Source organism: Homo sapiens, chromosome 5 (genome assembly GCF_000001405.40).
Source record: "Homo sapiens chromosome 5, GRCh38.p14 Primary Assembly".
Taxonomy (NCBI): Eukaryota; Metazoa; Chordata; class Mammalia; order Primates; family Hominidae; genus Homo; species Homo sapiens.
The window spans coordinates 70,064,551-70,090,800 of NC_000005.10; the positions used below are offsets into that span (position 1 = coordinate 70,064,551).

At 41.0% G+C, this 26,250-nt stretch overlaps 1 protein-coding gene across 14 annotated transcripts in view, besides 1 other annotated feature; it reads left to right on the forward strand.

Annotated features, from left to right (window-relative positions):
* The window catches only part of SMN2 (survival of motor neuron 2, centromeric), a 41,006-nt gene extending 15,028 nt beyond the window's left edge, over positions 1-25,978 (forward strand). Inside the window, exons 3-9 of one of the 14 annotated variants that reach the window (NM_017411.4) lie at positions 1,415-1,534; positions 2,384-2,584; positions 2,744-2,896; positions 4,685-4,780; positions 6,091-6,201; positions 11,971-12,024; positions 12,469-13,045. In NM_017411.4, the coding sequence (NP_059107.1) occupies positions 1,415-1,534; positions 2,384-2,584; positions 2,744-2,896; positions 4,685-4,780; positions 6,091-6,201; positions 11,971-12,021 (732 nt within the window). In that variant the 3' untranslated portion in view covers positions 12,022-12,024; positions 12,469-13,045. Of the gene's footprint in view, positions 1-1,414; positions 1,535-2,383; positions 2,585-2,743; positions 2,897-4,684; positions 4,781-6,090; positions 6,202-6,731; positions 6,950-11,970; positions 12,025-12,468; positions 13,046-25,911 lie in introns of those variants that run through there. The other 13 variants (XM_047417619.1, NM_022876.2, XM_011543600.3 and 10 more) reach the window with 13 other exon arrangements.
* Positions 24,298-25,001: an enhancer, noted in NCBI's record as "OCT4-NANOG-H3K27ac hESC enhancer chr5:69384675-69385378 (GRCh37/hg19 assembly coordinates)". NCBI's record gives its function as "activates a minimal SCP1, AML or CMV promoter by ChIP-STARR-seq in naive and primed H9 embryonic stem cells {active_cell/tissue: H9 hESC(naive and primed)}" and the evidence as "EXISTENCE:reporter gene assay evidence [ECO:0000049][PMID:30033119]".
* Positions 25,979-26,250: the final 272 nt, after the last annotated feature.

Below are 26,250 nucleotides of genomic sequence, written 5' to 3' on the forward strand. Positions count from 1 at the left end.
CTATGTCACCTTTGTAACTGATTTCTAGATTTTTTTTTTTTTTTGAGATGGGGTCTTGCCCTGTCACCCAGGCTGGAGTGTAGTGGCGTGATCATGCCTCATTGGAGCCTTCAACTCATGAGCTCAAACAATCCTCCTACCTCAGCTTCCTGAGTAGTTGGGACCACAGGTGTGTGCCACCACACCCAGCTCATTTTTGTATTCTTTGTAGAGATGCAGTCTCACCCTGTTGCCCACGCTGGCCTGGAACTCCTGAGCTCAAAAGATCCCTCCGCCTTGACCTTCCAAAGTGCTGGGATTACAAGCATGAACCACTGCACCCGGCCTAGATTTTTAAATGTGCTTTCCAGTATACACTGAAACTAGAAGTCGACTAAAGAATTACCAAGAGAATTCTATAAAATAGAGATTGAAATGGGGCTCGATGTGGGATGGGTTGGTGATATTGCAGGGAGAAGTAATCTGAGTAAAGGAGGAAAAGAACTGATTTGGGAAAACGATAGTTTTAGTAGTGAGTTTGAGTATGAATTAAGTTGAGATTGAATTTGAATTAAGTTGAGGTTGAATATGAATTAAGTTGAGGTTGAGTTTGAGGTATGAATTAAGATGTGAAATTGATCATTGGAAATGTTAGATTGAGAAAAGTCACAGCTGGATTAATAGCTTCAGAAGTGTGTTTGCAGACAGTTGCAACTAAAGTAATAAGAATAGATGGCCTTGGCCGGGCGCGGTGGCTCACGCCTGTAATCCCAGTACTTTGGGAGGCTGAGGCGAGCAAATCACGAGGTCAGGAGTTCAAGACCAGCCTGGCCCACATGGTGAAACCCCGTCTTTATTAAAAATACAAAAATTAGCTGTGCACAGTGGTGCACGCCTGTAATCCCAGCTACTCGGGAGGCTGAGACAGGAGAATCGCTTGAACCTGGGAGGTGGAGGTTGCAGTGAGCTGAGATCAGTGTGACTGCACTCCAGCCCGGTGACAGAGTGAGACTCTGTGTAAAAAAATAAAATAAATAAAATAATGGCCGTAAGCAAGTAAAGAAGGATGGCCAGCTCTTATTGGGAATGCCTAAATCTAAGGCTTGATCAGAAGTAATGAAACCGTTGGGGCCCTACATTGCTATGACATCCAAAGGGCCATGAATATCAGGAAGAAAGATAATTAACAGGGTCTAATGTTACAGAGAGGTTGAGAGCAAGGAGATTTGATTAAAAGGGTCTTTAGAGCTGATGTCAGGTGTATGATGCCTTTAAGAGCAGTTTTTATAGTGCAGGGGGTGGTCAAAAGAGAAAATAGGTGCTTTCTGAGGTGACGGAGCCTTGAGACTAGCTTATAGTAGTAACTGGGTTATGTCGTGACTTTTATTCTGTGCACCACCCTGTAACATGTACATTTTTATTCCTATTTTCGTAGCATGCTCTAAAGAATGGTGACATTTGTGAAACTTCGGGTAAACCAAAAACCACACCTAAAAGAAAACCTGCTAAGAAGAATAAAAGCCAAAAGAAGAATACTGCAGCTTCCTTACAACAGGTTATTTTAAAATGTTGAGATTTAACTTCAAAGGATGTCTCATTAGTCCTTATTTAATAGTGTAAAATGTCTTTAACTTAAGTGATTAGTACAGTGTTTCTATTGACATATACTTATACAACTTCAAAAACAACTATTAAATTTTCTGTTATTTAGGAACATGCATATTAGTCATGAAAGTATAAAGAATTAGATGGGAATGATAAATGCTAAAATCAGGACATGTGTTCCATTTGTGAATGGAAGGCAGGGAGAAGGTGCCGTTTGGAAGGAGTACCCAAGAGCCGTAAGCTGAATTGGCAGTGTTTTACATCTTAAGCTGAGAGATAGATTTTTTTTTCCCCTTTTTCTTTAAAAACTCTAAAACTGTTAATTCCAAGGAACCCAGAAGTCTAGGTAGATTATTTCTGCTAGTTAAAAGCAGTAGTCCTGAAAGCTGAATATTTTGGTGTCTTTTGAGCCAACTTTAGTTTCATCATTACCAAGGGGGAAGAGAGCTAACAGTTGATGAGCACTTGCTCTAGGCCAGTCCAGAGTGCTGGGCACCATACGCATTTTATCTCCCTCCCGCTATTCACAACAAATATGGGAGGTAGTTTATATTATAGCCATCTAATAAGATGGGGAAACTAAGACTCAAAGAGATTCAGAAACTTGTCCATGATTATAAATGTAAGAGAGTTGGAATTCAGATTTATGTATTTAGACCCCAAGCCTTTCTCATTACATCATTTTGCCTTCCAAATCTCTACCCTCTATCCTTCACCTCCCCACTGATCAAAACGAGATGATAGTTTGCCCTCTTCAAAAGAAATGTGTGCATGTATATATCTTTGATTTCTTTTGTAGTGGAAAGTTGGGGACAAATGTTCTGCCATTTGGTCAGAAGACGGTTGCATTTACCCAGCTACCATTGCTTCAATTGATTTTAAGAGAGAAACCTGTGTTGTGGTTTACACTGGATATGGAAATAGAGAGGAGCAAAATCTGTCCGATCTACTTTCCCCAATCTGTGAAGTAGCTAATAATATAGAACAAAATGCTCAAGAGGTAAGGATACAAAAAAAAAAAAATTCAATTTCTGGAAGCAGAGACTAGATGAGAAACTGTTAAACAGTATACACAGTTGTCAGTTTGATCCACCGAGGCATTAATTTTTTCTTAATCACACCCTTATAACAAAAACCTGCATATTTTTTCTTTTTAAAGAATGAAAATGAAAGCCAAGTTTCAACAGATGAAAGTGAGAACTCCAGGTCTCCTGGAAATAAATCAGATAACATCAAGCCCAAATCTGCTCCATGGAACTCTTTTCTCCCTCCACCACCCCCCATGCCAGGGCCAAGACTGGGACCAGGAAAGGTAAACCTTCTATGAAAGTTTTCCAGAAAATAGTTAATGTCGGGACATTTAACCTCTCTGTTAACTAATTTGTAGCTCTCCCATGAAACTTTTGTAGCTTAAATACACAAGAATTTTTTGAAAAGGAAATAAGATAATGATGCAAAATAGTTAATTTTTTAAAAAAATGTTAGACACTGCAGTGGATGCAACAAAATACTTTATATGAAAGATTTATCCAGTTAACTTTTGTGGAGTATTAGGTATTAGACTAATAATTAGCACACTTACTTAAGTTAGAAAGTATAATAATGCGCCGGACGCGGTAGCTCACGCCTGTAATCCCAGCACTTTGGGAGGCCAAGGTGGGCGGATCACAAGGTCAGGAGATCGAGACCATCCTGGCTAACACGGTGAAACCCCATCTCTACTGAAAATACAAAAAAATTTGCCGGGCGTGATGGCGGGCACCTGTAGTCCCAGCTACTCGGGAGGCTGAGGCAGGAGGATGGTGTGAACCCCGGAGGCAGAGCTTGCAGTGAGTCAAGATCGTGCCACTGCACTCCAACCTGGGCGACAGAATGAGACTCCATCTCAAACAAAAAAACAAAACAAAACAAAAAAAAGTGTAATAATAATTTATCATTAGCTGGATGATATGCTGTTGTTTCCCATGTCACCTGTATAAGATATGTAAAATAAGAACACATTATTTACATCTAATATAGATAAAATCCTGAGGCGCTCTCAGATTGTTTTGTAGAGTTCAAATGTAAATATTGTTTTCATTTATGGTCCTTTTGGTTATAAGTAACAGAAATCAACTCTAAAAAGATTTTTATTATAGGTTAGATTATGTCATGGAACCTTAAGGCTTGTCCCTTTCTAGTTCTTTTGTGTAAAGCGGTGATTTCTTCCATGGAGGGAATGGTATTTAGGCAATTTTTTTTTTTTTTTCGAGATGGAGTCTTGCTCTGTCGCTCAGGCTGGAGTGCAGTGGCACCATTTCAGCTCACTGCAACTTCCACCTCCTGGGTTCAAGTGATTCTCCTGCTTCAGCCTCCCAAGTAGCTGAGATTACAGGCACCCGCCACCACACCCGGCTTATTTTGTATTTTTAGTAGAGATGGGGTTTCACCATGTTGGCCAGGCTGGTCTTGAACTCCTGACCTCAAGTGATCTCCCCACCTTGGCCTTCCAAAGTGCTAGGATTACAGGCGCCTAGCCTAGGCAGTCATTTTCAAAAAACAAGCATGACTCACCAAAAGTTTTAAGATTTTCTGTGATAATGTTCTTATTGAGGCTTACATTATATTACAGTTTCTTGAATCTAAAATGATGTACCCTCTTAGAATATATACATCATGCTTCATTGGTCTCAGGGGGCTGATTTTTATAAGGAGAGATTTGCTAGTTTTCACAATATGTCCTCTAAGTTGGCATGTATAGCTAAACAGGCTTTCATAAAAATATACAATTTAGTTAATGAAATTTGGGATATAGTCTTTTATGATTGAAATAATTTTGCTAAATAGACTGTCTCTGATTTATTAGGTAATCACCACTCTTATTTTGTTTTACTTCCTTAATGTCTACATAGAAAGGAAATGAGAAAAATCCAGAGGTTGTCATTTGACTTATGAGTCTGTTTGACTTCAGGATTTGGTACATGAAATTTCACTTAATCTTTTTGATATGTATAAAACAAATATTCTGGGTAATTATTTTTATCCTTTTGGTTTTGAGTCCTTTTTATTCCTATCATATTGAAATTGGTAAGTTAATTTTCCTTTGAAATATTCCTTATAGCCAGGTCTAAAATTCAATGGCCCACCACCGCCACCGCCACCACCACCACCCCACTTACTATCATGCTGGCTGCCTCCATTTCCTTCTGGACCACCAGTAAGTAAAAAAGAGTATAGGTTAGATTTTGCTTTCACATACAATTTGATAATTAGCAGAATAGAGGATTGTAAAATGTCATTGTAGAACATCCCTTGGGCCAGATTCTAATGGGTAGAAATTTGAACTAAACCTCTGGGTTTTGTTTGTTTTTAATGCCTTTCTGTTACCCAGATGCAGTGCTCTTGTAGTCCCAAGTCTAAGCTCTAGGTTGCCTTCTTTCCTGGCAGAAGTTGGTGTCTATGCCATAAGGAGGTAGTTCCTGTTAGAAGGGATTTAATTATACCTTATATAAGGAATTAGTGTTTGCCCTTCTAGGTATAGTTGGATGTTAGCTTCTGATGTAAACTGGATTTCTTTTTCTTTCTCTCTCTTTTTTTTTTTTTGTTTTGGAGGCAGAGTTTTGCCCTTGTACCCCAGGCTGGAGTGCAGTGGTGTGATCTCAGCTCACAGCAACCTCCGCCTCCTGGGTTCAAGCAATTCTGCCTCGGCCTCCCAAGTAGCTGGGATTACAGGCGACTGCCACCACACCCGGCTAATTTTTGTTTTATTAGTAGAGATGGGGTTTCACCATGTTGGCCAGACTGATCTTGAACTCCTGACCTCAGGTGATCCACCCGCCTTGGCCTCCCAAAGCGCTGGGATTACAGGCGTGAGCTGCCGCACCCAGCTGTAAACTGGATTTCTAATGGTAGATTTTTAGGTATTAACAATAGATAAAAAGATACTTTTTGGCATACTGTGTATTGGGATGGGGTTAGAACAGGTGTTCTACCCAAGACATTTACTTAAAATCGCCCTCGAAATGCTATGTGAGCTGTGTGTGTGTGTGTGTGTGTGTGTGTATTAAGGAAAAGCATGAAAGTATTTATGCTTGATTTTTTTTTTTTACTCATAGCTTCATAGTGGAACAGATACATAGTCTAAATCAAAATGTTTAAACTTTTTATGTCACTTGCTGTCTTTTCGTCCTCGTTAAATTTAATTTTGTTGGTCTTTTGTTGTTATTGGTTGGTTTTCTCCAAATGCTAGCTATGTTAAGAAATTTAAGGCCAGGTACAGTGGCTCATGCCTGTAATCCCGGCATTTTAGAAGGCTGAGGCAGGAGGATCACTTGAGCTCAGGAGTTTGAGACCAGTCTGGGCAACATAGCAAGACCTCGTCTTTGTTTAGGGGAAAAAAAAGAAATTTAAGTAGGAGATTATATAAGCAAAAATACAATTAATTTCCAGCATTCACTATATAATATAAATCTCCAGACTTTACTTTTTTGTTTACTGGATATAAACAATATCTTTTTCTGTCTCCAGATAATTCCCCCACCACCTCCCATATGTCCAGATTCTCTTGATGATGCTGATGCTTTGGGAAGTATGTTAATTTCATGGTACATGAGTGGCTATCATACTGGCTATTATATGGTAAGTAATCACTCAGCATCTTTTCCTGACAATTTTTTTGTAGTTATGTGACTTTGTTTTGTAAATTTATAAAATACTACTTGCTTCTCTCTTTATATTACTAAAAAATAAAAATAAAAAAATACAACTGTCTGAGGCTTAAATTACTCTTGCATTGTCCCTAAGTATAATTTTAGTTAATTTTAAAAAGCTTTCATGCTATTGTTAGATTATTTTGATTATACACTTTTGAATTGAAATTATACTTTTTCTAAATAATGTTTTAATCTCTGATTTGAAATTGATTGTAGGGAATGGAAAAGATGGGATAATTTTTCATAAATGAAAAATGAAATTCTTTTTTTTTTTTTTTTTTTTTTGAGACGGAGTCTTGCTCTGTTGCCCAGGCTGGAGTGCAATGGCGTGATCTTGGCTCACAGCAAGCTCTGCCTCCTGGATTCACGCCATTCTCCTGCCTCAGCCTCAGAGGTAGCTGGGACTACAGGTGCCTGCCACCACGCCTGTCTAATTTTTTGTATTTTTTTGTAAAGACAGGGTTTCACTGTGTTAGCCAGGATGGTCTCAATCTCCTGACCCCGTGATCCACCCGCCTCGGCCTTCCAAGAGAAATGAAATTTTTTTAATGCACAAAGATCTGGGGTAATGTGTACCACATTGAACCTTGGGGAGTATGGCTTCAAACTTGTCACTTTATACGTTAGTCTCCTACGGACATGTTCTATTGTATTTTAGTCAGAACATTTAAAATTATTTTATTTTATTTTATTTTTTTTTTTTTTTTGAGACGGAGTCTCGCTCTGTCACCCAGGCTGGAGTACAGTGGCGCAGTCTCGGCTCACTGCAAGCTCCGCCTCCCGGGTTCACGCCATTCTCCTGCCTCAGCCTCTCCGAGTAGCTGGGACTACAGGCGCCCGCCACCACGCCCGGCTAATTTTTTTTTATTTTTAGTAGAGACGGGGTTTCACCGTGGTCTCGATCTCCTGACCTCGTGATCCACCCGCCTCGGCCTCCCAAAGTGCTGGGATTACAAGCGTGAGCCACCGCGCCCGGCCTAAAATTATTTTTAAAAGTAAGCTCTTGTGCCCTGCTAAAATTATGATGTGATATTGTAGGCACTTGTATTTTTAGTAAATTAATATAGAAGAAACAACTGACTTAAAGGTGTATGTTTTTAAATGTATCATCTGTGTGTGCCCCCATTAATATTCTTATTTAAAAGTTAAGGCCAGACATGGTGGCTTACAACTGTAATCCCAACAGTTTGTGAGGCCGAGGCAGGCAGATCACTTGAGGTCAGGAGTTTGAGACCAGCCTGGCCAACATGATGAAACCTTGTCTCTACTAAAAATACCAAAAAAAATTTAGCCAGGCATGGTGGCACATGCCTGTAATCCGAGCTACTTGGGAGGCTGTGGCAGGAAAATTGCTTTAATCTGGGAGGCAGAGGTTGCAGTGAGTTGAGATTGTGCCACTGCACTCCACCCTTGGTGACAGAGTGAGATTCCATCTCAAAAAAAGAAAAAGGCCTGGCACGGTGGCTCACACCTATAATCCCAGTACTTTGGGAGGTAGAGGCAGGTGGATCACTTGAGGTTAGGAGTTCAGGACCAGCCTGGCCAACATGGTGACTACTCCATTTCTACTAAATACACAAAACTTAGCCCAGTGGCGGGCAGTTGTAATCCCAGCTACTTGAGAGGTTGAGGCAGGAGAATCACTTGAACCTGGGAGGCAGAGGTTGCAGTGAGCCGAGATCACACCGCTGCACTCTAGCCTGGCCAACAGAGTGAGAATTTGCGGAGGGAAAAAAAAGTCACGCTTCAGTTGTTGTAGTATAACCTTGGTATATTGTATGTATCATGAATTCCTCATTTTAATGACCAAAAAGTAATAAATCAACAGCTTGTAATTTGTTTTGAGATCAGTTATCTGACTGTAACACTGTAGGCTTTTGTGTTTTTTAAATTATGAAATATTTGAAAAAAATACATAATGTATATATAAAGTATTGGTATAATTTATGTTCTAAATAACTTTCTTGAGAAATAATTCACATGGTGTGCAGTTTACCTTTGAAAGTATACAAGTTGGCTGGGCACAATGGCTCACGCCTGTAATCCCAGCACTTTGGGAGGCCAGGGCAGGTGGATCACGAGGTCAGGAGATCGAGACCATCCTGGCTAACATGGTGAAACCCCGTCTCTACTAAAAGTACAAAAACAAATTAGCCGGGCATGTTGGCGGGCACCTTTTGTCCCAGCTGCTCGGGAGGCTGAGGCAGGAGAGTGGCGTGAACCCAGGAGGTGGAGCTTGCAGTGAGCCGAGATTGTGCCAGTGCACTCCAGCCTGGGCGACAGAGCGAGACTCTGTCTCAAAAAATAAAATAAAAAAGAAAGTATACAAGTCAGTGGTTTTGGTTTTCAGTTATGCAACCATCACTACAATTTAAGAACATTTTCATCACCCCAAAAAGAAACCCTGTTACCTTCATTTTCCCCAGCCCTAGGCAGTCAGTACACTTTCTGTCTCTATGAATTTGTCTATTTTAGATATTATATATAAACGGAATTATACGATATGTGGTCTTTTGTGTCTGGCTTCTTTCACTTAGCATGCTATTTTCAAGATTCATCCATGCTGTAGAATGCACCAGTACTGCATTCCTTCTTATTGCTGAATATTCTGTTGTTTGGTTATATCACATTTTATCCATTCATCAGTTCATGGACATTTAGGTTGTTTTTATTTTTGGGCTATAATGAATAATGTTGCTATGAACATTCGTTTGTGTTCTTTTTGTTTTTTTGGTTTTTTGGGTTTTTTTTGTTTTGTTTTTGTTTTTGAGACAGTCTTGCTCTGTCTCCTAAGCTGGAGTGCAGTGGCATGATCTTGGCTTACTGCAAGCTCTGCCTCCCGGGTTCACACCATTCTCCTGCCTCAGCCCGACAAGTAGCTGGGACTACAGGCGTGTGCCACCATGCACGGCTAATTTTTTGTATTTTTAGTAGAGATGGGGTTTCACCGTGTTAGCCAGGATGGTCTCGATCTCCTGACCTCGTGATCTGCCTGCCTAGGCCTCCCAAAGTGCTGGGATTACAGGCGTGAGCCACTGCACCTGGCCTTAAGTGTTTTTAATACGTCATTGCCTTAAGCTAACAATTCTTAACCTTTGTTCTACTGAAGCCACGTGGTTGAGATAGGCTCTGAGTCTAGCTTTTAACCTCTATCTTTTTGTCTTAGAAATCTAAGCAGAATGCAAATGACTAAGAATAATGTTGTTGAAATAACATAAAATAGGTTATAACTTTGATACTCATTAGTAACAAATCTTTCAATACATCTTACGGTCTGTTAGGTGTAGATTAGTAATGAAGTGGGAAGCCACTGCAAGCTAGTATACATGTAGGGAAAGATAGAAAGCATTGAAGCCAGAAGAGAGACAGAGGACATTTGGGCTAGATCTGACAAGAAAAACAAATGTTTTAGTATTAATTTTTGACTTTAAATTTTTTTTTTATTTAGTGAATACTGGTGTTTAATGGTCTCATTTTAATAAGTATGACACAGGTAGTTTAAGGTCATATATTTTATTTGATGAAAATAAGGTATAGGCCGGGCACGGTGGCTCACACCTGTAATCCCAGCACTTTGGGAGGCCGAGGCAGGCGGATCACCTGAGGTCGGGAGTTAGAGACTAGCCTCAACATGGAGAAACCCCGTCTCTACTAAAAAAAATACAAAATTAGGCGGGCGTGGTGGTGCATGCCTGTAATCCCAGCTACTCAGGAGGCTGAGGCAGGAGAATTGCTTGAACCTGGGAGGTGGAGGTTGCGGTGAGCCGAGATCACCTCATTGCACTCCAGCCTGGGCAACAAGAGCAAAACTCCATCTCAAAAAAAAAAAAATAAGGTATAAGCGGGCTCAGGAACATCATTGGACATACTGAAAGAAGAAAAATCAGCTGGGCGCAGTGGCTCACGCCGGTAATCCCAACACTTTGGGAGGCCAAGGCAGGCGAATCACCTGAAGTCGGGAGTTCCAGATCAGCCTGACCAACATGGAGAAACCCTGTCTCTACTAAAAATACAAAACTAGCCGGGCATGGTGGCGCATGCCTGTAATCCCAGCTACTTGGGAGGCTGAGGCAGGAGAATTGCTTGAACCGAGAAGGCGGAGGTTGCGGTGAGCCAAGATTGCACCATTGCACTCCAGCCTGGGCAACAAGAGCGAAACTCCGTCTCAAAAAAAAAAGGAAGAAAAATATTTTTTTAAATTAATTAGTTTATTTATTTTTTAAGATGGAGTTTTGCCCTGTCACCCAGGCTGGGGTGCAATGGTGCAATCTCGGCTCACTGCAACCTCCGCCTCCTGGGTTCAAGTGATTCTCCTGCCTCAGCTTCCCGAGTAGCTGTGATTACAGCCATATGCCACCACGCCCAGCCAGTTTTGTGTTTTGTTTTGTTTTTTGTTTTTTTTTTTTGAGAGGGTGTCTTGCTCTGTCCCCCAAGCTGGAGTGCAGCGGCGCGATCTTGGCTCACTGCAAGCTCTGCCTCCCAGGTTCACACCATTCTCTTGCCTCAGCCTCCCGAGTAGCTGGGACTACAGGTGCCCGCCACCACACCCGGCTAATTTTTTTGTGTTTTTAGTAGAGATGGGGTTTCACTGTGTTAGCCAGGATGGTCTCGATCTCCTGACCTTTTGATCCACCCGCCTCAGCCTCCCCAAGTGCTGGGATTATAGGCGTGAGCCACTGTGCCCGGCCTAGTCTTGTATTTTTAGTAGAGTCGGGATTTCTCCATGTTGGTCAGGCTGTTCTCCAAATCCGACCTCAGGTGATCCGCCCGCCTTGGCCTCCAAAAGTGCAAGGCAAGGCATTACAGGCATGAGCCACTGTGACCGGCAATGTTTTTAAATTTTTTACATTTAAATTTTATTTTTTAGAGACCAGGTCTCACTCTATTGCTCAGGCTGGAGTGCAAGGGCACATTCACAGCTCACTGCAGCCTTGACCTCCAGGGCTCAAGCAGTCCTCTCACCTCAGTTTCCCGAGTAGCTGGGACTACAGTGATAATGCCACTGCACCTGGCTAATTTTTATTTTTATTTATTTATTTTTTTTTGAGACAGAGTCTTGCTCTGTCACCCAGGCTGGAGTGCAGTGGTGTAAATCTCAGCTCACTGCAGCCTCCGCCTCCTGGGTTCAAGTGATTCTCCTGCCTCAACCTCCCAAGTAGCTGGGATTAGAGGTCCCCACCACCATGCCTGGCTAATTTTTTGTACTTTCAGTAGAAACGGGGTTTTGCCATGTTGGCCAGGCTGTTCTCGAACTCCTGAGCTCAGGTGATCCAACTGTCTCGGCCTCCCAAAGTGCTGGGATTACAGGCGTGAGCCACTGTGCCTAGCCTGAGCCACCACGCCGGCCTAATTTTTAAATTTTTTGTAGAGACAGGGTCTCATTATGTTGCCCAGGGTGGTGTCAAGCTCCAGGTCTCAAGTGATCCCCCTACCTCCGCCTCCCAAAGTTGTGGGATTGTAGGCATGAGCCACTGCAAGAAAACCTTAACTGCAGCCTAATAATTGTTTTCTTTGGGATAACTTTTAAAGTACATTAAAAGACTATCAACTTAATTTCTGATCATATTTTGTTGAATAAAATAAGTAAAATGTCTTGTGAAACAAAATGCTTTTTAACATCCATATAAAGCTATCTATATATAGCTATCTATATCTATATAGCTATTTTTTTTAACTTCCTTTATTTTCCTTACAGGGTTTTAGACAAAATCAAAAAGAAGGAAGGTGCTCACATTCCTTAAATTAAGGAGTAAGTCTGCCAGCATTATGAAAGTGAATCTTACTTTTGTAAAACTTTATGGTTTGTGGAAAACAAATGTTTTTGAACATTTAAAAAGTTCAGATGTTAGAAAGTTGAAAGGTTAATGTAAAACAATCAATATTAAAGAATTTTGATGCCAAAACTATTAGATAAAAGGTTAATCTACATCCCTACTAGAATTCTCATACTTAACTGGTTGGTTGTGTGGAAGAAACATACTTTCACAATAAAGAGCTTTAGGATATGATGCCATTTTATATCACTAGTAGGCAGACCAGCAGACTTTTTTTTATTGTGATATGGGATAACCTAGGCATACTGCACTGTACACTCTGACATATGAAGTGCTCTAGTCAAGTTTAACTGGTGTCCACAGAGGACATGGTTTAACTGGAATTCGTCAAGCCTCTGGTTCTAATTTCTCATTTGCAGGAAATGCTGGCATAGAGCAGCACTAAATGACACCACTAAAGAAACGATCAGACAGATCTGGAATGTGAAGCGTTATAGAAGATAACTGGCCTCATTTCTTCAAAATATCAAGTGTTGGGAAAGAAAAAAGGAAGTGGAATGGGTAACTCTTCTTGATTAAAAGTTATGTAATAACCAAATGCAATGTGAAATATTTTACTGGACTCTATTTTGAAAAACCATCTGTAAAAGACTGAGGTGGGGGTGGGAGGCCAGCACGGTGGTGAGGCAGTTGAGAAAATTTGAATGTGGATTAGATTTTGAATGATATTGGATAATTATTGGTAATTTTATGAGCTGTGAGAAGGGTGTTGTAGTTTATAAAAGACTGTCTTAATTTGCATACTTAAGCATTTAGGAATGAAGTGTTAGAGTGTCTTAAAATGTTTCAAATGGTTTAACAAAATGTATGTGAGGCGTATGTGGCAAAATGTTACAGAATCTAACTGGTGGACATGGCTGTTCATTGTACTGTTTTTTTCTATCTTCTATATGTTTAAAAGTATATAATAAAAATATTTAATTTTTTTTTAAATTAGCTGTATCTGTGATTGTATTTCTTTTTTGCATATTATTTTGCCCTTTGGCCCATATTTTGATATGGATGCCACCATAGCATTTTGTGTATGTGCATGTGTATTCCCACTTAATGTCACATTTTTCATGTCTTTACATATTCTTATTTTTGTTTGTTTTTGAGACAGAGTCTCGCTCTGCTGCCCACGCTGGAGTGCAGTGGTGCAATCTCAGCTCACTGCAACCTCTGCTATCCGGGTTCAAGCAGTTCTCGTGCCTCACCCACGTGAGTAGTTGGGATTACAGGCATGTGGCACCATGCCCCACTAAGTTTTGTATTTTTAGTAGAGATGGAGTTTCACCATGTTGGCCAGGCTGGTCTCAAACTCCTGCCCTCAAGTGATTCGACCACCCTGGCCTCCCAAAGTGCTGGGATTACAGCCGTGAGCCACCGCACACGGCCTCTCTATTTATTTCTATACATAGCTTTTCACATTATATTATGTTTATATATTGTTTATATCTGTATTTCCTCTTTCATTAGAGAAAAGGTAGTACATCTTATTCTTCATGGTGTCTACAATATCTGGCAGTTTTTGGAAGTCAAGCGTGAGCTTAGAGCATAGACTGGTGGGATTGTCAAAGAAGAGGGCAACTGGAAGAGAACTGTCAGTTATTTTTGGATCAGTCTTTAATTCATCATGACGGGTTAGGCATTAGTTGTATTTCTTGCTAATTTTGAAGAAGACTTATTAACAAATCCTACATTAGGTAAATGGTTTTGAAAGTTGAGTTAATCATAATGGTGTTTGACCTAGGACTATTTTTAGGCCCTATTTATCTTAATATCGAATAATGAAGCAGCTTCCCCCTTAGATATAGACAGAAAACATCAAAGCCACCACACTACCTGGCTGGATTTATCCTAGTAATAAAATCAAAACTGAGCTAGTTCTCTGGCTTTCATTGTAATAATTGTCCTTGTGGTTGTAAGGAATCTAGATGAAAATTACATGGTCTGTTCTACAGCCACAGCTGTACCTACATTCAGAAGACAGACAAAAGTTGCTGTGTTTGAAGAGATCCTTCATTAAGGGATCAGACAGAGATTACTTTGAGACATATTCTAAGTTTAACTTTTCTGCAGGGTTGCCATTAACAGAAATAAACTACAGAGTTAATTTCTTTTTGTTTTTGATACAGTCTAACTCTCACCCAAGCTGGAGTGCAGTGGCGCAATTTCAGCTCACTGCAACCTCTGCCTCCCAGGTTCAAGCAATTCTCCTGCCTCAGCCTCCCGAGCAGCTGGGACTACAGGCATGTGCCACTATGCCTGGCTAATTTTTGTATTTTTAGTAGTAGAGACGTGGTTTCGCCACGTTGGCCAGGCTGGTCTGGAACTCCTGACCCCAGGTAATCCACCTGCCTCGGCCTCCCAAAGTGCTGGGATTACAAGCTTGAGCCACTACGCCTGACCCAGAGTTAACTTTTTAAAAAAGTTTTTATGAACTTAAGTCTTGTGATGTTTGAAATAATGGATTCAATTTAGACATCAAATTCCAGAAGTTACTAAGAGCAGCTGGGCGCGGCAGCTCACACCTGTAATCCCAGCACTTTGGGAGGCCGAGGCGGGTGGATCACCTGAGATCAGGAGTTCCAGACCAGCCTGGCCAACATAGTAAAACCCTGTCTCTACTAAAAATACAAAAATTAGCCCGGCATGGTGGCACGCCCTGTAGTCCCAGCTACTTGGGAGGCTGAGGCAGGAGAATTGCTTGAACCCGGGAGGTGGAGGTTGTGGTGAGCCGAGATTGTGCCACTGTACTCAAGCCTGGGCTAAAAAGCGAGACTCCGTCTCAAAAAAAAAAAAAAAAAAAACACGTTACTAAGAGCAACTCTGGGCCAGGCACGGTGGCTTACACCTGTAATCCCAGCATTTTGGGAGGACGAGACAGGCGGATCACTTGAGCCCAGGAGTTCAAGACCAGCATAAGCAACAACGCAAAACCCCTGACTCTACAAAACATGAAAGAATTAGCAAGGCATGGTGGTGCATGCCTGTAGTCCCAGCTACTGGAGAGGCTGAGGCAAAAGGATCACTTGAGTACAGGAGGTTGAGGCTGTGTAATGAGCCGTGTTCACACCATTGCACTTCAGCCTGGGCAACAGACTGAGACCCTGTCTCAAAAAAAAAAACCAAACCAAAGCAACAAACAAAAAACAAGAGCAACTCTGCTTCTGTACACTTTTTTTTTTTTTTTTGGTAGTGACATGATCTATGTTGCCCAAGCTGGTCTCGAGTTCCTGGGTTCAAGCCATTCTCCCACCTCGGGCTCCCAAAGTGCTAGGATTACAGGCATGAATCACCATGCCCAGCCCTTCTGTACACTTTTCACAGTGTACCCTTTTGTGTTTTTTAAAATGTTTGTGTATACATTTATTGTGAATTTTTAAAAAACATGTAATTAAGGCCAGGCATGGTGGCTCATACCTGTAATCCTAGCACTTTGAGAGGCTGAGGTGGGTGGATCACCTGAGGTCGGTAGTTCGAGACCAGCCTGGCCCAACATGGTGAAACCCCATCTCTACTAAAAATACAAAAAAAAAATTAGCTCGGCATGGTGGTGGGCGCCTGTGATCCCAGCTACTGGAGAGGCTGAAGCATGAGAATCACTTGAACCCAGGAGGCGGAGGTTGCAGTGAGCCAAGATCGTGCCACTACACTCCAGCCTGGGTGACTCAGTGACTGTCTCAAAAAGAAAAAAAGTAATTAAGTTCTGTCATGATATATCATCATTACCCTTTTTGAACTTTTAAAATTTTTTATCTTTAGAGGTAATTCATATAATGTTCTTCAATAGATAAGTGCTTTTCTGTCAATATATCTTGGAGAACACACCATATCAGTATTTAAAACTCTCATTCTTCCTATTTCTCCACATCCTCTCCAGCACCCGTTGTTTCCTGACTTTTTAATGATTGCCATTCTAACTGGTGTGAGATGGTATCTTATTGTGGTTTTGATTTGCATTTCTCTGATGGCCAGTGATGGTGAGCATTTTTTCATGTGTTTTTTAGCTGCATAAATGTCTTCTTTTGAGAAGTGTCTGTTCATGTCCTTCGCCCACTTTTTGATGGGGTTGTCTGTTTTTTTCTTGTAAATTTGTTTGAGTTCATTGTAGATTCTGGATATTAGCCCTTTGTCAGATGAGTAGATTGCAAAAATTTTCTCCCATTTTGTAGGTTGCCTGTTCACTCTGATGGTAGTTTCTTTTGCTGTGCAGAAGCTCTTTAGTTTAATTAGATCCCAGTTTTGGCTTTTGTTGCCGTTGCTTTTGGTGTTTTAGACATGAAGTCCTTGCCCATGCCTATGTCCTGAATGGTAATGCCTAGGTTTTCTTCTAGGGTTTTTATGGTTTTAGGTCTAACATTTAAGTCTTTAATCCATCTTGAATTAATTTTTGTATAAGGTGTAAGGAAGGGATCCAGTTTCAGCTTTCTACATATGGCTAGCCAGTTTCCCAGCACCATTTATTAAATAGGGAATCCTTTCCCCATTGCTTGTTTTTCTCAGGTTTGTCAAAGATCAGATAGTTGTAGATATGCGGCGTTATTTCTGAGGGCTCTGTTCTGTTCCATTGGTCTATATCTCTGTTTTGGTACCAGTACCATGCTGTTTTGGTTACTGTAGCCTTGTAGTATAGTTTGAAGTCAGGTAGCGTGATGCCTCCAGCTTTGTTCTTTTGGCTTAGGATTGACTTGGCGATGCGGGCTCTTTTTTGGTTCCATATGAACTTTAAAGTAGTTTTTTCCAATTCTGTGAAGAAAGTCATTGGTAGCTTGATGGGGATGGCATTGAATCTGTAAATTACCTTGGGCAGTATGGCCATTTTCACGATATTGATTCTTCCTACCCATGAGCATGGAATGTTCTTCCATTTGTTTGTATCCTCTTTTATTTCATTGAGCAGTGGTTTGTAGTTCTCCTTGAAGAGGTCCTTCACATCCCTTGTAAGTTGGATTCCTAGGTATTTTATTCTCTTTGAAGCAATTGTGAATGGGAGTTCACTCATGATTTGGCTCTCTGTTTGTCTGTTATTGCTGTATAAGAATGCTTGTGATTTTTGTACATTGATTTTGTATCCTGAGACTTTGCTGAAGTTGCTTATCAGCTTAAGGAGATTTTGGGCTGAGACAATGGGGTTTTCTAGATATACAATCATGTAATCTGCAAACAGGGACAATTTGGCTTCCTCTTTTCCTAATTGAATACCCGTTATTTCTTTCTCCTGCCTAATTGCCCTGGCCAGAACTTCCAACACTATGTTGAATAGGAGTGGTGAGAGAGGGCATCCCTGTCTTGTGCGTGTTTTCAAAGGGAATGCTTCCAGTTTTTGCCCATTCAGTATGATATTGGCTGTGGGTTTGTCATAGATAGCTCTTATTATTTTGAGATACGTCCCATCAGTACCTCATTTATTGAGAGTTTTTAGCATGAGGGATTGTTGAATTTTGTCAAAGGCCTTTTCTGCATCTATTGAGATAATCATGTGGTTTTTGTCTTTGGTTCTGTTTATATGCTGGATTACATTTATTGATTTGCGTATGTTGAACCAGCCTTGCATCCCAGGGATGAAGCCCACTTGATCATGCTGGATAAGCTTTTTGATGTGCTGCTGGATTCGGTTTGCCAGTATTTTATTGATGATTTTTGCATCAATGTTCATCAAGGATATTAGTCTAAAATTCTCTTTTTTGGTTGTGTCTCTGCCTGGCTTTGGTATCAGGATGATGCTGGCCTCATAAAATGAGTTAGGGAGGATTCCCTCTTTTTCTATTGATTGGAATAATTTCAGAAGGAATGGTACCAGTTCCTCCTTGTACCTCTGGTAGAATTCGGCTGTGAATCCATCTGGTCGTGGACTCTTTTTGGTTGGTAAGCTATTGATTATTGCCACAATTTCAGAGCCTGTTATTGGTCCATTTAGAGATTCAACTTCTTCCTGGTTTAGTCTTGGGAGGGTGTATGTGTCGAGGAATTTATCCATTTCTTCTAGATTTTCTAGTTTATTTGCGTAGAAGTGTTTATAGTATTCTCTGATGGTAGTTTGTATTTCTGTGGGATCGGTGGTGATATCCCCTTTATCATTTTTTATTGCGTCTATTTGATTCTTCTCTCTTTTCTTCTTTATTAGTCTTGCTAGCGGTCTATCAATTTTGTTGATCCTTTCCAAAAACCAGCTCCTGGATTAATTTTTTGAAGGGTTTTTTGTGTCTCTATTTCCTTCAGCTCTGCTCTGATTTTAGTTATTTCTTGCCTTCTGCTAGCTTTTGAATGTGTTTGCTCTTGCTTTTCTAGTTCTTTTAATTGTGATGTTAGGGTGTCAATTTTGGATCTTTCCTGCTTTCTCTTGTGGGCATTTAGTGCTATAAATTTCCCTCTACACACTGCTTTGAATGTGTCCCAGAAATTCTGGTATGTTGTGTCTTTGTTCTCGTTGGTTTCAAAGAACATCTTTATTTCTGCCTTCATTTCGTTATGTACCCAGTAGTCATTCAGGAGCAGGTTGTTCAGTTTCCATGTAGTTGAGTGGTTTTGAGTGAGTTTCTTATTCCTGAGTTCTAGTTTGATTGCACTGTGGTCTGAGAGACAGTTTGTTATAATTTCTGTTCTTTTACGTTTGCTGAGGAGAGCTTTACTTCCAACTATGTGGTCAATTTTGGAATAGGTGTGGTGTGGTGCTGAAAAAAATGTATATTCTGTTGATGTGGGGTGGAGAGTTCTGTAAACTGCTTCAACCACTGTGGAAGTCAGTGTGGCGATTCCTCAGGGATCTAGAACTAGAAATACCATTTGACCCAGCCATCCCATTACTGGGTATATACCCAAAGGACTATAAATCATGCTGCTATGAAGACACATGCACACGTATGTTTATTGCGGCACTATTCACAATAGCAAAGACTTGGAACCAACCCAAACGTCCAACAATGATAGACTGGATTAAGAAAATATGGCACATATACACCATGGAATACTATGCAACCATAAGAAATGATGAGTTCATGTCCTTTGTAGGGACATGGATGAAATTGGAAATCATCATTCTCAGTAAACTATCGCAAGGACAAAAAACCAAACACCGCATGTTCTCACTCATAGGTGGGAATTGAACAATGAGAACACATGGACACAGGAAGGGGAACATCACACTCTTGGGACTGTTGTGGGGTGGGGGGAGTGGGGAGGGATAGCATTAGGAGATATACCTAATGCTAAATGAGGAGTTAATTGGTGCAGCACACCAGCATGGCACATGTATACATATGTAACTAACCTGCACATTGTGCACATGTACCCTAAAACTTAAAGTATAATAATAAAATAAAATAAGAAAAATGCAAAAATTAAAAATTTAAAAAAAAGCTCTCATTCTTTTAAGCACTTACAGGATATTCTTACAGATGTGTACCACGCTTAATGAATTGAGCTCTTGTGGATGAGAGTTTAATTTGTTTCTAATCATTTGTTATTTAATAGTACAGTCAGCATCTTTAGGATTAAGTATCTAGAATTAGAACTACTGTGTTGAAGAGGCTATTGCATTTAAATTGTTTTTTTTTTTTTTTTGATACGGAGTCTTGCTCTGTTGCCCAGGCTGGAGTGCAATGGCGTGATCTCAGCTCACCGCAACCTCCGCCTCCCAGGTTCAAGCAGTGCTCCTGCCTCAGCCTCCTGAGTAGCTAGGATTACAGGCACACGCCACCATGCCCGGCTAATTTTTGTATTTTTTTAGTAGAGACGGGGTTTCACCATGTTGGCCAGGCTGATCTTGAACTCCTGACCTTGTGATCTGCTCGCCTTGGCCTCCCAAAGTGCTGGGATTACAGGCATGAGCCACCGTGCCCGACCTACATTTAAATTTTAAACAAAAGTTTGCTAAATTGTTTTCAGTAGAGGTTATATTAATCTATATTTATACCAACATGGAGAGTTTGTTTCCTGCAAAATAGCCAATAATTTATCAAACCTTTGAATCTTTGTCAATTGAATAGTTAAAAATGATTATCTCATATTTGTACATTTTTATCTTATTGTGAAGTTCAGCACCTTTTCATGTGTTTAAGAACTTTTAATTTTCTGTTGTTTATATGGTCTTCCCATTACCATTTTAACTATTTGTTTTTATTTTCAGAGTTTTTGCTTATAAAATTTTATTTACAGTCAATTCTCTTTATTTGTAGAATCTGTATTTGTAAAGGCACCTACTTGCTAAAATTTATTTGTAACCTAACATCAATACTCATGGCAGTTTCATGGTTTTTCATGGACATACACAGAGGTGAAAAATTTGAGAACCTTACCCAGATATTCCCAGCTGGGGTTGAACAGTGCTCAGTTTTTTGTGTAGCTTTCTTACTATAAACAAGTGTCCTTTTTGAAAGCAGTTTATATAGTTCTACATTTTTCACATTTTTGTGCCTTCTGTTTGTGATTTTACTGTTTAAAGTGATTCCCAAGCATTGTGCTGAAGTGCTATATAGTGGTATTCCAAGGTGCATGCGGGCTGTGAGGTGCCTTAGAGAATACATGTGTTAGATAACCTTTGTTTAGTCATGAGTTATAGTGCTGTTGAGTGGGAGTTAGATGATGATGAGTCATCACTATTTATTATTATATTTTTTGAGATGGAGTCTCACTCTGTCACCCAGGCTGGAGTGCAATGGCATAATCTCGGCTCACTGCAACCTCCTCCTCCCGGGTTCAAACGATTCTCCTGCCTCAGTCTTCCCAGTAGCTGGGATTATAGGCACCCGCCACTGCACCCAGCGTAATTTTTGTATTTTTAGTAGAGGTGGGGTTTTACCATGTTGGGTAGGCCAGTCTTGAACTCCTGACCTCAAGTGATCCACCCACCTTGGCATCCCAGAGTGCTGGGATTACAGATATGAGCCACCATGCCAGGTCTATATTTATTAAATAATGTGTCTTTAAACAGAAACAGATATAAAACAAGCTTACGTATTTATAAGTTGGTGAAAATGTGACCAAAGGCTTACAAGAACCTAACCCTGTATTTCTGTTAGGAGCAATGGCTCAGTATTCACTAATTTGCGTGTTTGTGGCAACTTCATAGAACATAACTACCTCAAGTAATGAGAATTGACTGCATTCTTTTTCAAGTCATTTTATAAACAATTTACAGAAGAATAAAGGGATGGTGAAAATTAACTTTGTTAGCAATTTTAATGAGAATCCAAATATAGGAGACCCACATTTTTTCCCATATTTTCCCAGTTTTGAATGTTTATGTATACCTAAAAGGCATTACATCCTTTGAAAGCAGCTGTCATTATGCATGAATCTGGAACATACCTACCTTTAAATACGGATTTTGGATTTCAAATGCATCTCTACTATGTTCTACCTTATTATTTGTATTCTTCATGAACTCACTTTGTCAAAATGCAATACTTTTTGTTTTTTAATTTATTTTTATTTTTTGTAGAAATAGGGTCTCACTGTGTTGCCCAGGCTGGCCTTGAACACCTGGCCTCAAGTGATCTTCCTGCCTTCCAAAGTGCTGGGGACGGTAGGCATGAGCCACCACACCTGTCCAAACTGCAATACTTCTGAAAACTTTAGGGCTCATAGTTTTGTTGAAGTGATAGATGATGGCTATATTCTTTGTTACATAACAGCAAAACATTTTTGTTTTTACATTTATAAATACCAATTAGAATGACTTTCAGTGGATTGGTTTTCATTTTTCACATCATCTTTACCTTCCTGTTACTTTGTGTACATATCTGTCTTTCATACTTGTCCACTTACAAACTTTTTCAAGTAAATTCTGGTGTTACAAGCATAAAAGATGAAAGAACGTTGTCACATGGTCACTTGTCCTTTTAGCAATTATGCGATGATTCAACTGTTCTAGGTACAACTAGAGGGAGAGTATCCCAGGCAAGGGAGATAACAAATAGAAAGGCCCTAAGACACAAGTGTATTTAACATGTTTGGGGAACAACAAGGAGTTAATCGTGGCTGGAGTGGAAGTAAGGAGGAGAGATTAAGGAGATGGAGCTAAGAGAGGTAGTCAAGGGCCAGGCCATATGTCAGCGATAGTAAGGTCTTCAGCATTTACTTTTTTAAGCTGGGAGTCCATGGAAAGGTTTTGAACCCAAGGTATAGCATGATCTGACTTACAGAAAGAGACTTCTGATTGCTGTGTTGAAAATACACCATAGGTTTGAAGGGAGGAAACAGGCTGACTAGTTAGAGCCAGTGTGGGTAGTGGTGGTTGGATCTGAGTATATTTTCCAAGTGGAGCCACCAGGATTTTTCAGTAGATTGATTACATGTGGTGTATGAAAGAGGAGTGTCAAGTGTAACTCCGAGATTTTTGGCTTATGCAACTGGAAAAATAAAGTTAGAATTTAATGAGATGGAGGTCTGCATAAGGAGTACTTTTGTGGCAGGAAAGAAATTGGGTTTTGAACATGTGAAAATTGAGATGCCCATTAGTAGAAGTTGGATGTGAATAAAGAGTCCAGGCCAGGTGCAATGCCTCATGCCTGTAATCTCAGCACTTTGGGAGGCCAAGGCAGGAGAATCATGTGAGCCCAGGAGTTCAAGACCAGACTGGGCAACAAAGTGAGACCCCGTCTATATTATAAAATAAAAAAATAGTTCAGAGGAGAGGTCTGGGCTAGAGATGGAAATGTAGAAGTTAGTAAATTTAAAGCTGTTGAACTAGAGGAGATAGCTGAGGAAGTGCATTCAAATAGAGAAGATGTCAGAGGAGAACTTTGGGGTTCTCTCAGTGGTTAGAGATAGGATATGAGGAAAAACAGTGCAGGAGACTAAGGAGGAGCTCTCATTGAGTTAGGAAAATCAAGAGGGATGCCCTGGAAGCCAAATGAAGGCAGTGTTTTGAGGAAGAGGGGTGATGGGCCATGTGAAAGCCAATAGGTCACATGCTGCTAATGGGTCAACTAAAGTGAGGACTGAGAAGTATTCACCAATTTAGCAATGTGGAGCTCATTGGTGACCCTCATAAGAGCTGTGTTGGTGGAATGGAGGAGGTAAAATCCTGGAGGGAGAGAACATAAGAATGAGAGAACAGTTGACAGTGCATGTAAACAACTCTTTCACGGAACTTTGTATTTCTGAATTTTTGTTTATTTGGCTATTAATAAAATCATATCTGATATAGCTTTATTTTAGTAAGGTTTGTTTTTGTGGGACTTCAGTTGTGTATACACATATAATATGTGTGTGTATGTATGTGCGTATGGTGTTTTGATGTAAAATTTATTATTGTGGGTCATGGTTAAAAAAAAAGCTTGAGAATGAGGAGTTAGATCAAGAAATAGAAGGAAAGTTGACATAAGAAGTTGTGGATGTAGGAGATTCTACCATGTAGACACAGTGGAAGGATTTAGGGAGTTGGAGCAGGTTGGGATATGTGATCAGAAAGCGGGAGTTTAGCTCTCTCACTTGCCCCTGCTTTTACCATGTGATGTGTCTGCTACCCCTTCACCTTCCACCATGACTGTAAGCTTCCTGAGGTCTCCCTAGAAGCCAAGCAGATACCAGCACCATGCTTCCTGTAAAGCCTGCAGAACCATGAGCCAATTAAACCTCTTTGTAAATTACCCAGTTTGAGGTATTTCTTTATAGCAGTGCAAGAATGCCCCAATACAGAAAATTGGTACCGAGAAGTTGGGCATTGCTATAAAGATACCTGAAAATGTGGAAACAGCTTTGGAACTGGGTAATGAGTAGTGGTTGGAAGAGTTTACAGGGCTCAGAAGAAGACAGGAAAATGAGGGTAAGTTTCAAACTTTTTTTTTTTTTTTTTTTTTTTTTTTTTTTGAGACGGAGTCTTGCTCTGTCGCCCAGGCTGGAGTGCAGTGGCGTGATCTTGGCTCACTGCAACCTCTGCCTCCCGGGTTCAAGTGATTTTCTGCCTCAGCTTCCCAAGCAGCTGGGGTTACAGGCATGCACCACCATGCCTGGCTAATATTTTTGTATTTTTAGTAGGGATGGGGTTTCACCATGTTGGCCAGGCTGGTCTCGAACTCCTGACCTCAAGTGATTCACCCACCTCGACCTCCCAAAGTGCTAGGTTTACAGGCGTGAGCCACCGCTCCCGGCAAGTTTGGAACTTCTTAGAGACTAGATAAGTGGTTGTGACCAAAATGCTGATGGTGATAGGGACAGTGAAGTCCAGGTTGACAAGGTCTCAAAAGGAAACGAATTTATTGGGAACTGGAGCAAAAGTCACACGTTATGCCTTAGCAAATAACTTGGCTGCATTCTGCTTGTGTCCTAGGGATCTGTGGAAGTTTGAACTTAAAAACTATGACCTAGCGTATGTGGCAGAAGAAATTTCTAAGCAGCAAAGCATTCAAGATGTGGCCTTCTGCTACTAACAGCCTGTGCTCAGATGTGGGGGCAAATGAATGACTTAAATTTGGAACTTACATTTAAACAGGAAGCAGAGCCTAAAAGTTGGGAAATTTTGCAGCCTAGCCAGGTGGTAAAAAAAAAAACCATTTTCTCCAAGGAATTCAAGCAGGCTGTGGAGCAACCACTTGCTGATATTTGCATAACTGAAAGGGATCCAAGTGGTAATATCCAAGACAATGGGGAAAAGGCCTCAAAGGCATTTCAGAGACCTATGGGGCAGCCCCTCCTGTCATAGGCCCTGAAGCCAAGGAAGACTGAATATTTTCCTGGGCTGAGCCCAGGGCCCTGTTGCCCTGTGCAGCCTCAGAACACTGCTCCCTGCATCCAGATGGCTCCAACTCCAGCAGGGGCTCAAAGGGGCCTAGGTACAGCTTGGGCTGTTACTTTGGAGGGCATAAGCCATAGCCTTCACAGCTTCCATTAGGTGGTAAGCCTGCAGGCACACAGAATGCAAAAATGGTGAATTCTTGGTAGCCTCTGCCTGGATTTCAGAGGATGTATGGAAAAGCCTGGGTGTCCAAGCAGAACCCTGCTGCAGGAGCAGAGCCCTCACAGAGAGCCTCTACTAGGGCAGCATGGAGGGGAAATGTGGGGTTAAAGGCCCCACGCAGAGTCCCTACTGGGGCACTGCCTAGTGGAGCTGTGAGAAGAGGGCTACTGTTCTCCAGAATGGTAGAGCCACTGGCAGCTTGTACCCTGCACTTGGAAAAGCCACAGACACTCAACCCAGCCTGTGACAGCAGGCTGAACTCTGCAAAGCTATAGGAGCAGAGCTGCCCAAGGCCTTGGGAGCCCAACCCTCATATCAGCGTGCCACATGGAAACCAAGGAGATCATTGTGGAGTTTCATGATTTAATGACTGCCATGCTGGGTTTTGAACTTGCATGGGGCCTATAGCCCCCTTTTTTGGCAGGTTTTTCCCTAATGGGAATATTTCCCCAATCCCTGAACCCTGATTGTATGTTGGAAGTAAATAATTTGTTTTTTATTTTATAGGCTCATAGGTGGCAGGGATTTGCCTTGTCTCAGATGAGACTTTGGATTCCTGAGTTAATGCTGGAATGAGTTAAGACTTTGCGGCACTGTTGGGAAGGCATGGTTGTATTTTGCATTGTGAAAAGGACATAAGATTTGGGAGGGGCCAGAGGTGGAATGATGTGGTTTGGATATTTATCTCTACTTATGTTGAATTTTATCCCGAGTGTTGGAGATGGGGCATGGTGGGAGGTGTTTGGATCATGGGGGCAGATCCCTCATGGCTTGGTGTTACCTTTGTGTTGTTACTGAGTTCTCGTGAGATCTGGTCATTTCAAAGTGTATGAAACCTGCCCCCTGCCCCCCCACTGTCTCTCACTTGTTTCTGCTTTCATCATGTGACATGTGTGCTCACCTTCTGCCATGATTTTAGTTTCCTGAGGCCTCCCTAAAAGCCGAGCAGATGCCAGCACCATGCTTCCTGTAAAGCCTGCAGAACCGTGAGTCAACTAAACCTCTTTTCTTTATGAAAGAAAAGGAAGGAAGGGAGAGAGGGAAGGAGAAAAAGAGAGAGGGAGAGATGGATGGAGGAAGGGAGGGAGGGCTTACAACCATGAGGACAGTTTTTAGGTCAATGAGGGATGACTTGGGAGTCCTATGAAGACTGATGTAAACTAGAATAAAGGGCATGATGAGCTTATGATTCAAAAGTATTTTGTCATAGAAATAGTTTGTTTTCTGTAAAAGAACACAGTAAATATTTTAGCTTTGT